Source organism: Homo sapiens, chromosome 15, assembly GCF_000001405.40.
Source record: "Homo sapiens chromosome 15, GRCh38.p14 Primary Assembly".
Classification (NCBI taxonomy): Eukaryota; Metazoa; Chordata; class Mammalia; order Primates; family Hominidae; genus Homo; species Homo sapiens.
The window spans coordinates 46,679,388-46,694,691 of NC_000015.10; the positions used below are offsets into that span (position 1 = coordinate 46,679,388).

A 15,304-nucleotide genomic window follows, 5' to 3' on the forward strand; every position below is an offset into this window, starting at 1 on the left:
TCTCTGTCCATGTGTACACATTATTTAGCTCCCAATTATAAATAAGAACATGCAGTATTTATCTTTCTGTGTCTGAGCTGTTTCACTTAAGGTAATGGCCTCCAGTTCCAACAATGTTGCTGCAAAAGACAAGATTTAATTCTTTTTTATGGCTAAACACTATTCCATTGTGTGCATAAACTACATTTTCTTTATCCAATTACCCATTAATGTACACTTAGGTTGAATCAATATCTTTGCTATTGTGAATAACATACTATTGTGATAAACATATGAGTGTAGATGTTTTTGATATAATGATTTCTTTTCCTTTGGGTAGATACCCAGTTGTGGGATTGCTGGATCTAATGGTCATTCTATTTTTAGTTCTTTGAGAAACAGAATGCATGTTCTTTGTTGTCGTTTTTTCGTATCTTCCTTTTTTTCATAATTATTTACTACCAGTCTCTTTATCTTTGTGATTTCCTGCTTATTTAGCTAAATTTTTAAAAAATATGAAACACTCATAGTGCCAACTAGGAAAATCTGGGCTATTATCAGTGCCATGCTAGGTTGTAATAGTGGCCATCAGAATGAGAGAGCTTGTAGCTTTATTGTCCTCTACCCTTTTCTGCTCTTCTTCATAGATAAGGACTTCCTGAAGTGGCAAGAAAAATTGAAGAATTAACTAAAATCATGGAAGATGTAAGAGAGGGAAAACATGCCTTTATAAAGAGATGTCACAATAATCAATAACAAGAATTAAAAAGGAAATATCATTACTGTCAGGCCTCTGAGACCAAGCTAAGCCATCATATCCCCTGTGAGCTGCACATACACATCCAGATAGCCAGTTCCTGCCTTAACTGATGACATTCCACCACAAAAGAAGTGAAAATGGCCTGTTCCTGCCTTAACTGATGACATTGTCTTGTGAAATTCCTTCTCCTGGCTCATCCTGGCTCCAAAGCTCCCCCACTGAGCACCTTGCGACCCCCACTCTGCCCGCCAGAGAACAACTCCCCTTTGACTGTAACTTTCCTTTATCTACCCAAACCCTATAAAACGGCCCCACCCTTATCTCCCTTCACTCACTCTCTTTTCGGACTCAGCCCACCTGCACCCAGGTGAAATAAACAGCCATGTTGCTCACCCAAAGCCTGTTTGGTGGTCTCTTCACACGGACGCGAGTGAAAATTATAAATGTTATAGCATTAGAAAGAAAGTGACAGAAAACAACTTTATGCCAATATAATTTTCAAATAATTGAAATCAAAATTCAACTTATCAAAACTGGCAATAAAAAGAAACAGAAAATATGAATAAATAATGTTGTAACTAGTAAAGAAATCAAATTTGTGATGAAAAATCTTCCTATAAGGAAAAATCTTGTTTCAGCTAGCTCCACTAAGGAATTATTTCAATCATTTAAGGTAGAAATAATGCCAAACTTACAATAACTCTGTTTTATGAGGTCAGAATGATCTTCATGTCAAAACTTCTTGAGGATAATGTAAGAAAGGAAATTTATAGGCTAAACTCATTATTGGACTGAAGTAAATCAAAATATTTACCCCCAAATATATTTCTTTGACATATTTTGAGATGGCTGCCAGAGGGACAGCAAAGAGAAGTGTCCCTGAAAAGCTGTCTTTCAGGGGCAGAGGAGATTTGCATCTGTAGAGAATCTGCCTTGATGCAGCCAGGTCTTTCCTTGTCTGAATCTAGGAAACATTAGCAGATTCTGACATCTTTAAAGGTTTAAAGAGAAATATTTGCCATCTATTCTCTCTGATGGCTACTCCCTGGGAGGTTTCATGTACACAACAAGACCACCTTTGCTAACCAAGTCTCCTCCTCTCTCCTTCCCATAACCTGTCTTGCCGCCAAAACCCCATTTACCACCCCCAACCTGTTTGCTGCCATGCTCTGTGCCTGCATTCTTTCTGTAACTTAAAGATGATATATAAAGTTTTGTACCTCATTGCAGGGGTTGCTTTTGGTCTTTATTCTAAAGGCTCCTGTGTCACATAAAACTGGGACCAAATAAATTTGTATTCCTTTTCTCCTATTAATCTGCCTTTTGAGAGTTAATTTTTCAGCAAACCTTCCAAGGGCGAAGGAGAGGCTTTCCCTTCACCTCTACAGGACATGGACATGAAAATCGCTTTTAAAAAATCAAACTGAATCCAGCAATTACCAAAACATTAATTCATAGTAACTAAGTTAATTAACTAAGTAATTAATTCATAGTAACATAGTTATGTCTCTTGGGACATTTGCTAATGTAAGTTGTATTACTGTAGAAATATAAGATTAGATTAACATCAAAATCAATTAGAAATATATATATACTATGACTATTTTAATGAATATGGAGACATATGCAATAATATTCAACATCCATTCACAGTGAAAACCTCCAGAAAACTAGGAATAGAAAGGGTGTGTTACAAAACTTATGGAAAAATAACTATTTTTATGGTATATCATTGTAAGCTTTTCTCCTGAAATGGGGAAGGAAACAAGAAAGGCATTGTCACTATCCCTATTATACATCGTACAATAGATACAGACCAAAGTAGCAGAATTAGGAAAGAAGGGAAAAAATTATCATTATTCATATGTGGCATGATTGTAGTAGAGGCATGTGAACCAGAACAACTCCATCTTGAATAGGAGCCAAGTAATATGAGGCTGAAATCTACTGGGCTGCATTCCCAGACAGTTAAGGCATTCTAAGTTACAAGATGAGATAGGAGGTAGGCACAAGATACAGGTCATAAAGATGTTGCTGATAAAACAGGTTGCAGTAAAGAGGCCAGCTAAATCCTACCAAAACCAAATCCTACCAAAACCAGGACAGCCACAAGAGTGACCTCTTGTCATCCTCACTACCATACTCTTGTCAGTGCCATGACAGTTTACAGATCCAATGGCAACGTCAGGAAGTTACCCTATATGGTCTAAAAAGGGGAGGCATGAATAATCCACCCCTTGTTTAGCATATCACCAAGAAATAACCATAAAAATGGGCAACCAGCAGCCCTCGGGGCTGCTCTGTCTATAGATTAGCCATTATTTTATTCCTTTATTTTCTTAACAAACTTGCTTTCACTTTGCACTGCCAACTAGCCCTGAATTCTTTCTTGTGTGAGACCCAAGAACCCTCTCTTGCGGTCTGGATTGGGACCCCTTTCCTGTAACATATTTCTCTGTCCTGTAACAATTGTGTATGCAGAAAATCCAAAAGGGACTATAACTGAATTATTAAAACTGATAAATTACTTTAATAAAGTTGCTAGATATAAGTATAAATCAGGAATCAATTGCATTTCTCTACATGAGAAACAAGTGGAAATGGAGCATTTCAAATATATTACATTTACGGCATCATCAAAAATATCAAATATTAGTATGACCCCTTTGGAAAACTTCTTGGCAACATATTCCAAAAGAGTAATGCATGGAAACTCTGGACTCAACAATTTCATTCTTAGATATATAGACTACAAAACTCATATGTTCAAAGTAGCACTATTCACAATAGCCTCAAACTGGAAATCTCTCAAATGCCCATCCACAGTAAATGCTTAAAAAATGATGTTTTTACAAGATGTAATATATATAGCAATGAGACTTAAAATATACATAAAATTATGAGTAAATTTTATAAATGTAGTATTGGCTGAAAGAAATTGTTTCAGTAAGTAGCTAGTCAGACATGAACAGGGCAGGAGAGGGCTCCCTACCAACACACACACACAGATATACACACACACACCCACACACCCCAGGACCAGGAATGTCAGGCAGCCATCAGGTGATGGACAGGTGGTGGTGAACTCTCTCTTTAAAATAATAATTGGCCACAGCCAGTGCCAGGGAAAAGCAGTCTCTCAATAAACAGAAACACCTAAAGCTGGTGATCAGCAGCTTCCTGATAAGATCTCAGGAACTGGGCAAATGGGCTCAAGCATGCACACTAAGAGGCAAAATGGCAGAGTTTAACTAGTGTATCGTAATATAGGAACACTGGAATTGTAAGGTAAACACCTCAATGGAGCACGCATACAACTCCAATAAACACACTGAACATGTGACAGCCCACCCCAAGGAAAGAATCAGGAGAGAAGTAATGCAAGACCCCGGAAGCATGCCAACATATAAAACCCCAAGTCAAAAGGTCTAACTGCACACTTGAGCTCTCAAGTCACCTGCTTGGCCCTCTTCCATGTGTATGTTACTTCCTCTCATTCCTGCCCTAAAACCTTTTAATAAACTTTCACTCCTGCTGTAAAACTTGCTTCAGTCATCTCAGCCTGCTTTATGCTCCCTCGGTTGAATTCTTTCTTCTGAGGAGGCAAGAATTGAGGTTCCTGCAGACCCATACGGACTCACCTCCAGTAACAAAATCATCTACAAAACAATTCTTACTGGGTGATTCAAATTATTTAAAGGTCAAAAATAGATTAGAATGGGACAGAAGAGGGGCAGGGATTTTGGGTAATGTGCTATTTCTTGATCTGGTGCTGGTTATAAGAGAACTTTCACTTTTGAAATTTCATTGAACTGTTCACTGATGCTTTATGTGCTCTTGTGATATTATACTCCTATATAATAGTTCTAATAAATAGAACTTAGTATAAAACTTCTCTCAGAAAACTATAAAACATTGATTGGAAAAATAAAAGTTGTAAAGACACCAAAGACACTGGGTCTCCAAAACTAGTATCTATTTGATACAATCTCAATGTTGTAGAAATTAGCAAATGGTTTTAAAATTTGTGTGGCAGTGTAATGGGTCACACACAATAAAGACAATCTTGGAGAACAGAACACGGTTAAAAGTCTTCCTTTACTGAATGTCAAGACTTACAGAGCAATAATAACTAAATACGTAAGGAACTTGGCTTTTGTTTGTTTTTGAGACAGGGTATCACTTCATCACCCAGACCAGAGTATGTGGCATGATCTCGGCTCACTGCAACCTCTGCCTCCTGGACTCAAGCAATCCTCCCACCTCAGCCTTCCTTGTAGCTGGTACTGCAGGTACACACCACTACACCAAGCTAATTTTTGTATTTTCTGTTGAGATGGAGTTTCCCCATGTTTCCCAGGCTGGTTTCAAACTCCTGGGAAGGGATTTGTTTTTAGGTAGACAAATAAATAGACTAGAATACAATAGAGTAGAATAGGAGAGCACAGAAAAATAACCTTGCTGTAACACTGTGGAAGCATGGGAAAAGGATGCCTTATTTGAAAATGTTGCTGAGACAATCAGATATTCATTTAGAAAAATTTTAAATTCATTTTAGATAAATTTTAGAACTAAATGTAAAACACAACCAACAAAATTTATAGAAAATGATACAGAAGAATATTTACATAATCTCACAATATAGAGTCACTTCTTAAACATTGACAGAAAACTAATGATACATAAATATTTTAAATTAGGGTATATTAAAATTCAAACAATAAAAAATAAAATAAAAATTTATTTTCACAAAATGGTTAAAAGGAAAGGCATGAAATGGGAGAAGACATTCTCCACACATATCACTAACAAAGGCAACTTATTTCAATTATGTAGAGAAGTCCTACAAAATAAAAACAAAACTACAGGCAACTCAAAAGAAAAATGGCAAAACACTTGAACATGCATTCCACAAAAGGGATATCCAAAGGGCCAAAGGTTGCTTAATATCCTAATTAGTCACATAAATAAAAATTAAAACAATTGTGAGATATCATTTACTACCCAAGAGAATGACTAAAATAAAAATGTCAAATATTGGTAAGAATATGGAACAAGTGTGAATTTTAGACACTATTTGTAGAAGCATAAATTAAGATAATTTTGGAAAACTATTAAGCATTATCAATTAAATTTGAAAATATTCTCATCCTATGACTCAGCAATTCTAATCTTAAGTATACCCAAAAGACATGTCTTTACATGTACACCAAAGAAATATGGACAACAAATGTGCTTAGCTACAAATTTCATAATAGCAATCCATAAACAGAAGTAACCCAATTTCTGTCAATATTAGAAAGGATAAAGTATAATCAGACAGCGAAATATTATGCAGCAATGAAAAAAGTGAAAAATGGCCACATGTAACAACATGAATGAATCTCATCAACATGATGTTGATGAAAAGACCTTTACCACAAAAAATACGGTAAAATTTTATTTATATAACACTCAAAACAAAACCTAAGAAAAATGTAGTGTTTGAAAATGTGTACTTATGTTAAAATGATAAAGAAATGCAAGGAAATAATAAACAAAAATATCAGGAAGGTTATTACCTTTGACAGAGAGGATAATTAGTGACTGGGGGAAGGTATTAAGATGGAATTAAATCTTTACATTACTACTAAGATATTTTTCACCATTTTAAACAATCCCAGTTAAAGGCATTTTAAGCAGAATGCAGGCTGCCTCATATTGTGCACTCACTGCCTAACTCCAAGATTCCCTTTATAAAGGATACAAAGTGCAGAGCAATAATGCAAGGTGCGGCATCATTGCTCTAATGTTATACAATAAAACAACCTTGCCAGAAAGTCCAGATAAACAAAATAGTCTTTTCTCCCTTGAATATGGATTTAATCTCACAGTTCTATTTTATCATAGTCCTGAAAACTAAAATATTTGTGAGGGCTAAAGTTACTTGGTTAGCAATAGCTCTTTCAATAAGATGGCATTCACCATTTATATTTGTTTTTATTTTCTATCTTAATAAAAACCTTGTGATGTTTCAGTCTAGCAGCCAAATAAATATAAGAGATTTCAGAACGTATGAGGCAAATTTTCGATCTTCCTGACAGTTCTATGTTGTTTCTGGCCACATCCCATATGGACTTAGCTATAAGATATGCTGGGAACTTAAGTAGCAGTTTTGTCCTCGTGACCACTCAACCAGGCTTATGGCTTGTGTATATTTTATTAGGAAAGTTTTAAATACATAGATAACTTGAAAATATTTTACACTTAATATTCAGATACCCACCTACTGTATCATTACCATTTTATTTAATTTGCTGTATCATGTAGCTATCTGCCTGTCCTTCCCTTTATCAACCATCCATCCATCTAATCATGTGATTATCATTGTTTTTAACAGCTCAGATTTATTACAAGGTAAACCTCAATGCAAGCAGCACCTATGTCAAGAAATAAAGTTTTTTCAATAGCACAGTCCCCCCTTCCCATGTTTTCAGTTCTTAAAAAAGGAAATGATCCCAAAGAAAGGCCTTTTTTTTTCCATAAAGGTGAAATTTTAAGAAAATTAGCTTACTTTACCTTCCCTATTTTGTCTTTATTGGTACATTTTTCTGTAAGCTGAGAATGAAGAAAGATAAAATTGCACAAAAAGTTTATGCGATCAACTTTCTCATAGATTTCCTAGTGCGATCTCAAGGACATATTAGAAATTCTTAACACTAAAATTCTAGAAGGTTGAATATTTTTATAATCAACAAATAGACCAGGCTGGGTCAGTAAACAAGTTAGATCTATGTCTCATGGGACATTTGCTAATGTAAGTTTTCTAAATATGGGCAATTTAGAGCTCATATTTGCCATTATCTGGTGAAACAGTCTGCATTGAACCTAATGCAACCTAATGTTTTTTAATGTATGGTTTTCTGAATTCCCCTCAGACATTATAGCAGCAAGCCACACAGTAAAGAAAGCTTTTTTTCTTTTTCTTTTTTTTTTTTTTTTTCTGTGCAGTGATTTCACTTCTCACATTTCTGTTGGAATGAAAATTAGATTCAAGGACAGTTCTGTACCTGTTAACTCTGACAAGGTGTGGAATGCAAAGCTTTCCATGGCTGTAATAAAAAATGTATGCAAAGTTGATTTTTTTCTCTTTTGTCTGAAGGTTTCAAACTGTCTATCCTGGAGTAAAAATATTCTAGTTTTGCAGCATCAGCTACCTTGTCTGTTGATGACCATGTTCTCCAAATGCCAGCTGTAGGGGGAATAGCAGCTCTCTGAGGGCTGCTTATAACTTCAGCACTTGATTTTCCAGGGACTGACAATGCTCATGGCCCTCCTGCTTAATTGTTTGAGCTTCTCTTTGCTCTCCAGATGGCATCCTTTGGAATATTTGAATGAGTATGGCAAAATTATGGAGCTTCTATGAATGAACAGAAGTTAGTCTAAAGCAAAAGAAGGAACAAATGGGCATACTTTTTTGTTTACCTACATAGAAGTATTACTATTTCATTATGTAAAGGGTAGCATAGACAGTTTACATCCAGATTATATTAAAATTCAGATCTTAAGTATTATTTTAACTTTTTGACAAAGTCACATGCAAAATAAGCTTATAGTTCTTTGCATGTGTAAAAAATAATTGTAAGTATGCAGCCAATTCATGTCGCTATGAGTCCTCAAGTGTAAAGTGAAGCCCTGGGTGCTGGTTTACTTAGACCATTTTTGGAATAACTTTTTCAGCCAAAAGTCAAAAGGATAGGTTAGATTTCTATTGTGTAAACAAGATCAGTACACTGAATGAAAATAATGTATTTTTATATACTAGCAGTAAACAATATGAACATGAAGAGAAAATACCCATTTAAAATAGCATACAAGAGAATACAATATTTAGGAATAAATGTAACAGAAGAAATGTGAGACTTGTACACTACACTGAAAGTTATTCAATGTTATTTAAAAAAGTAAATAAAAATATTCTATTCATGTGGATTGGAAGACAATATTGTTATCATGGTGACACTCTGTATTAGTTTTCTTATTGTTGCACTAACAGATTGCCACAACTTTAGTATTTTAAAACACCACCAATTTATTATTTTATAGCCCTGGAGGCCAGAAATGCAGCATAAAATCCACATGTTGGCAGTGATGGTTTCTTCCAGAGTCTTTAAGGAAAATTCCGTTTCTTGCTTCTTTAAGTTTATAGAGGATGTCAGTGTGCCTCAGCCTGTGGTCCCATCACTCCAGTCTCTGCTTCCATCATCACATTGATTTCTCCTAAAGTCTTCTTTCCCCTCTCATATAAGGACACTTATATTTAGTCTCACAAAGGTAATCCAGGAAAATCTTAAGATCTTTAACTTTATCACAGCTAGAAAGGCCCTTTTGCCATGAAAGGTAACATATTCATAGATTCTGGGGATTCAGACATGGACATATTTGAGTGGGGACTTTACTCATTATTGTGTCCTTCAAACTGATCTTCAAAACATATGCATCCCACATCAAAATTCTAATTGCTTTTGTGGCAAAAACTGAAAAGCTGATTACAAAATGTATTAGGAAACTCAAAAAAAAAAGCAACAGAATAACCAAAACAATATTGAAAAGAGCAAAGTTGAAGGACTCACATCTTCTAATATCAAAACTAAAAGCTTCAGTATACACGACACCATAGTGTTGTCATGGATGTATAGATCAACATAACAGAATTAAGACTCCAGAAATAAACTCATATGGTCAACTGAATTTCAACAAGGGTGCCGAGACCATTCAAAGTAGAAAGAGGAATTTTTTTCAACAAATGGGTGGAGATAACTGGATATTCCCATGCAAAGGAATAAAATTGGAATTCCTATCTTAAATGACATTTAAAAATTAGCTCAAAATGGATTTAAAAATCCTACATACAAAAGGGAAATCTATAAAACTCATAGAAGAAAACTTAAATATAAATCTCTGACTCTCGGGAATAGTTTCTGAGACATGACACCAAAAGCATAAGCAACCAAAGAAAAAATAAATTTTACTTTATCACAATGAAAAACTTTCGTGTGTCAAAGGACGCTTTGAGGAAAGTAAAAAGATAAAACCACAGAATGGAAGAAAATATTTGAAAATCATATATCTGATAAGGGTCTAGTATCCAGGAAATATACTCTTAAAAATTAACAATAAAAAGACAAACAACTTAAAAACAGGAAGAGAATTTGAATAGATGTTTCTCCAAAAATATAGAAATGGCCAATAAGCACATGAAAATGTATTTAACACCATTAGTCATTAGGAGCATGCAAATCAGAATCACAATAAGATATCACTGTATAAACATGAGGATGGCTATAGTAATAATTTTTAAAAACATAAGTAAGTGTTGGTGAGACTATGGAGAAATTGGCACCCTCATATATTGCTGGTGAGAGCATAAAATAGTCCAATTGCTATGGAAAACTTTGGCAGTTCCTCAAAAAGTTAAACAGTTACCTGACCCAGCATTCCACTCCTAGTTCTATACCCAAGAAAATTGAAAACATATGTTCACATGATGTTTACAGCAGCGTTATTTATAAGAGCCAAAATCATGAAAACAATTTACATGTTCATTGGCTGTTGAATAAACAAAATGGGATATATGCATACAAATAAATATTATTCATCCATAAAAAGAATTAAATATTAGTACATGCTACAGGATGAATGAACTTTGAAACATTATGCTAAGGGAAGGAAGTCAAAGACAAACGGCTGTAGATTTGTATGATTTCTTTCATATGACATATCCAGAATTGGCAAATCCACACAGATAGAAAGTAAAATAGTGGTTGCCAGGGAGTATAGGTAGGGAGGGACAGTCCTAGAGGTCAGAAATCCAGTATAAAATCAGTATCTTGGCAGAGATGGTTCCTTCTGGAGGCTCCAAGGAGATTCACTTTCTTACCTCTTTAATACTAACGGGCATGAGATCTCTTTTTAAGGTGATAAAAATGTTCTGCAATTAGATAGTGGTGATGATAGCATAGCACAATCTTGTGAATATACTAAAAAATCACTGAATTGTAAAAAATGAAAAGAGTGTATAGTATAGATAAAGGGATAGGGGATCGAGTATAGAGTCTCTTAAATCCAGGAAATAAATACTCTCTCTGTTCTCATTCTTTGAAGAATCTTGACAGGTTTTTGTTTTACTCTGAATAACTTTGAGAAGAAACCAGAGATATTGAAGATTCAGAGGTTAAAAAATTTCAGTGTGTGTTCTAGAGTGTGGTAAATGACATTTTGTATTTTCACTTCTCTTTAACAGGATAAGGAATTGATGTCCCAGATGCTGATTCTGTAGGTGCCCAGGGCACAGTGTTGATATGTGGCAGAAAGAGAAGGGGCATAGAGTGGGTGGGACAGAGTAACCTAGTTATGTTGTATGGGATGAATATTTGTGCCCCTTCAAAATTAATATGTTGAAGTTTTACCCTCAAGATATTGGGAGGTTTTTGGGCAGTAACTGGGTTTAGATGAGGTTGGGACAATGGTGTTCCTGTGATGGAATTCATACCTTTATAAGAAGAGAAAGAGAAACCAGAGACGTGTGTGTGTGTGTGTGTGTGTGTGTGTGTGTGTGTGTGTGTGTGTCTGCCTGCTATGTGTGGACAAAGGGAGAAGGTAGCACACCAGAAAGTAGGCTGTCATCAGAAACCCAATCTCCAGGCATATTGATCTTGGACTTCCTAGCCTACAAAATTAGGAAATAGAAGTGTCTGTTATTTAAGTGACCAAGTGTATGATTTTGTAGTAACAGCCTGAGCTGGCCATTACATTATAGAATGAGATACAAGAGGCAAGTGTGGAATAAAGAAGGTGAGAGAATAGGGAATATATTTGTTTAATAAAACAGGATCCTGATCAGAGAGAGATTTGAAAAGGGGACTGATGTTATACCATTTTAGTTGTTTGATCTTTAATTGAAAATTCTTTCATGAACCACAAACAGATTGTAGATAGACTACAGTAACATTTCTGTTAATAAAATTCTTTGTTTTTTTAAATATTAAGGTACAGTAGAATATATATATGCTTATTAGTTTTTATTCATGTAGGACTTATACAGAGAACATTTTCATTTTATGTATTATAATATAACTATGGGTACACAATTTATAATGTTCTTTAGAAAAATATAAAGCAAAAAAGGAAAAGATCTATTGAATTTTTTGAATTTGAAACAGTTGTTTTATTTTTATGTATTTGTAATGAGCTGGGACCTTCGGAATGGGAGTTCATGATGAATAACAGGTAATGATCAGGTGATTAAGGAGGCAGAAGACAAAAATACAGGGCAGAACAAGAGCCTTGCCAATGGTAAGGGATATAGCCAAGTGTGATAGAGGATGGAGAATTCTTTATGCACACGAGAATAAAGCTCTCTTCCATAATGGGCCATCTAAATCATCACTCTATCAGACACAGTGTCATTTTGTGATTCCTGGGATTCCTGCAGGCACACAGTATTGGACAGGCTATCAAAGAATAGCAGTAACCCAGATGAGTCAACAAACAGAGCAATAGGTCACAGGCTTTTGTAAATAGGTTCCAAATGGAGATAGAGTTGGGCTTATGAGAAGCTGGCTTCTTTCACCAAATATATACTACCTTACCCTCAAGTAGATTCTCGTCTGGTATTCAAGGGGAGCCTTTTTTTTCAGCTTTAGTGCAGAGTGATTCTCCTCTAAAGCACTGTTTAGGAGATTGTCTTAGATTAGTCTTATAAACTCAGCACCAATAGTATCAGTGTGAACTTGGACCAAATGCTTTATCCTCCTATGTCTTCTTTGCTCATCTGTAACACATGAATAACAATGTCTGCTCCAGAAGCAAATATTTGTGAAGATTAAATTGGGTAATATCTATGAAGTGCTTCACACAGTACCTGAAAGAATAAGCACTCATTTCATGATAATATATTTCAAAACTAGCATTTCTTCAATTCTGAGGTCTCATGACCAGAAATCTTATTCTCTTCTCTTTTCTCCAGATGCATTAAACTTAGCTAAGTTCCTCACATTGTTCTCACCAAGCACTTTCATAAATAACTGAAGCCTTTTTCTTGTCCATTAACAGCTGTGATCTCTCGAGCTCTATCAATCCACTTTCTGTATTTCATAATTCTCTGCCTCTGAATTGGCACTAAACATCTCAGTCTTTTTCTTCTTCCGATTTCCTTACATCAAAGTCTGGTCTGTTACTCTTTAGCTTTTATATGTAAGAAGAAATCAAAAGATTTGGGCATTATTCTTTCAAAAGTGCCGGGAAACTAGCCATGGACATGCAAGACCTTCTGTTTTATTTTGGGCAGAAGAAAACTAAAAGCCTAACAGTGATGCTCTGGGCAGTCCTGAGGCAGTCCTGAGGATGATTTCCATACAGGAACTGTGAAGGCCTGACTTCAGTAGTTGTCTGCTCCCACATTCTATCCATGAACAACCATCATTCCTCCAAAACTCTCTGTCTCCCATATTCCAGTAACAGAACAAAAAAATCTACAAACCACCAATGAGCATCTTGCAGTTACATTCAACTATACATTTTGTATTAAACATAAGTACAGGTACTATTTATGTAGCATTTCTTTCCTAGAGGATTTTTCAAACTTTAACGTTTAATCATCACCTGAAGTTGCATATTAAAGATGCAGATTCCTAGTTTATTTAGTCTGAAAAGAATGTCAAGTGACTTTAATATAGGTAGTTCATGTACCATACTTTGAGAAACGCTGCCTAGAAAATGGAGCACATGTGCTCACACTTTAAAGAAGAGAAAAAACTTCAAGGTTGCACTTATATATGGCAGGCAGAATACACAACATAACCAATTTATGTATTTATTTTAAAAAAACCCTTGTTTTATATCTTAAACAGCATTTTACTCTGTATCTTGAGTATTTAGTTTTCATTTAAATAAAGTAAAATAAGCAATCTTTTGGTTAAATCAAGGAATGAAAATGTTACAAGTAGAAGTCAATTCCCTGTGAGCAATGGTAAAAAAATCAGGGTATTATACACTGTTTTTATGAATTACAATCTACTGGCAGCTTTTCACTTATTATTTTTAGGAAATGCTTTGCTTTCACTGAGATTTTTAAGATAAAATTCTTAGAGAATGATTCTCAAGACATCAGACAAAAATATCATTAACCACTCAAACTTCAGGCACTAAGCAAAGTTCACTAAATGGGAAGTTTTCCCCAGGAAGAACCTCATTATAATTTTTTGTGTTGGTGCTTCAAGGAAAAGACTGCTATGTGATAAAATGATTTTGATATCATAGAAGTTCATTAAAATAAGGATTCTATCTGTAATGAGATGGGGGTGCATGACCCATGGAAGTGCTGGAAGCAGGTGCTGAAGAATACATGATGGCAAAGAGGGAAGAACATAAAATCAAAACTGATGATGACCTCATCAACCAGACAAACTGTCTCCTGAAACTGGGAGAACGCAACCATCAGTAAGAATGAGAAAAAGGTAGGACAAACACATAAATGGTAGTTTTATTTTTCTCTCTCACTTTCTCTGTCTCATCTACATGCAAACCAGATGAGAACATATTTTTATCTAAGCAGTTAGTTATTTGTTCAGATTCTCCTTTTAGAGTTTTTTATTTGACCTCGATGCTTTATTGTTTCACTTTTATATATGTTTTTTTTTACTTTAAAATACAGCAGAGACAACTGATAAGCATTCAAGCACATTTCCTGATTTTTCATTTATATACAAAATATTCTTAATCTTCTGCAAACTGGCTTTTATTATCAATTGCTTCTAAAATTCTCCCTAGAGTTATTTAATATTCTTTCTCTGGACAAAATTAATATTTTAATTAGTTTTTTTAAGTTCTGCCATCACATATGTTTCACCTTTATTTCAGAAAGTTGGCCACCTCCTTCCTTCTGAAAAAATTATTTTTAATCTTGGTTTGGTCCTTTTCCTCTTTGATTCACTTAACTTTCTTTTTTTCATTGAAATGTTTTTCTTTTCTCTCTCCGTTGCTTTCTTTCTCATTTCTTGTCTTTCTTTCTTCTTCCAACCATTTCTCCTTTTCTTCCTACTTTCTTTCCATTTTTTATCCTTGTTTTCTTCTTTTTACTCTTTTTAAGTCTCAATAGGAGATTTCTATTCATCCCTTTCCATACCCATAAAAAACTCAATTCATTCACAAGACTTCCAAATATCAATTTTTTACTTTGACTCTTCACTTTGTTTTTTAAGGTATTTCCATTTACATATTCAATCAAAGCCTAAAATGGGTCATATCCAAGTTCATAATGTGTTCATAAAATAATTATAACATGGCATTTTCCCCCATTCTGACCGTGCCATCTCCATTTCCCAGATTTTTACTCTCTGAAGTCTTAATCATCTTTAAATTTGTTCTCATTCTTCCACTCATTATCATGTGCGCTGATTCTTCTTTTTTGAACATGCTTGCTATCTCCGCTACTTTTCCGTGTTTGTATTTGTGACAATATTGCTAATTATCATCAACTCACATCTGGACAATAATATGGCATTTTTCTGGTTTCTTTGTCTATAA

General features: G+C 34.8%; 2 annotated features.

Annotated features, from left to right (window-relative positions):
* Nucleotides 317-817: an enhancer, noted in NCBI's record as "OCT4-NANOG-H3K4me1 hESC enhancer chr15:46971902-46972402 (GRCh37/hg19 assembly coordinates)". NCBI's record gives its function as "activates a minimal SCP1, AML or CMV promoter by ChIP-STARR-seq in naive H9 embryonic stem cells {active_cell/tissue: H9 hESC(naive)}" and the evidence as "EXISTENCE:reporter gene assay evidence [ECO:0000049][PMID:30033119]".
* Nucleotides 818-1,318: an enhancer, noted in NCBI's record as "OCT4-NANOG-H3K4me1 hESC enhancer chr15:46972403-46972903 (GRCh37/hg19 assembly coordinates)". NCBI's record gives its function as "activates a minimal SCP1, AML or CMV promoter by ChIP-STARR-seq in naive H9 embryonic stem cells {active_cell/tissue: H9 hESC(naive)}" and the evidence as "EXISTENCE:reporter gene assay evidence [ECO:0000049][PMID:30033119]".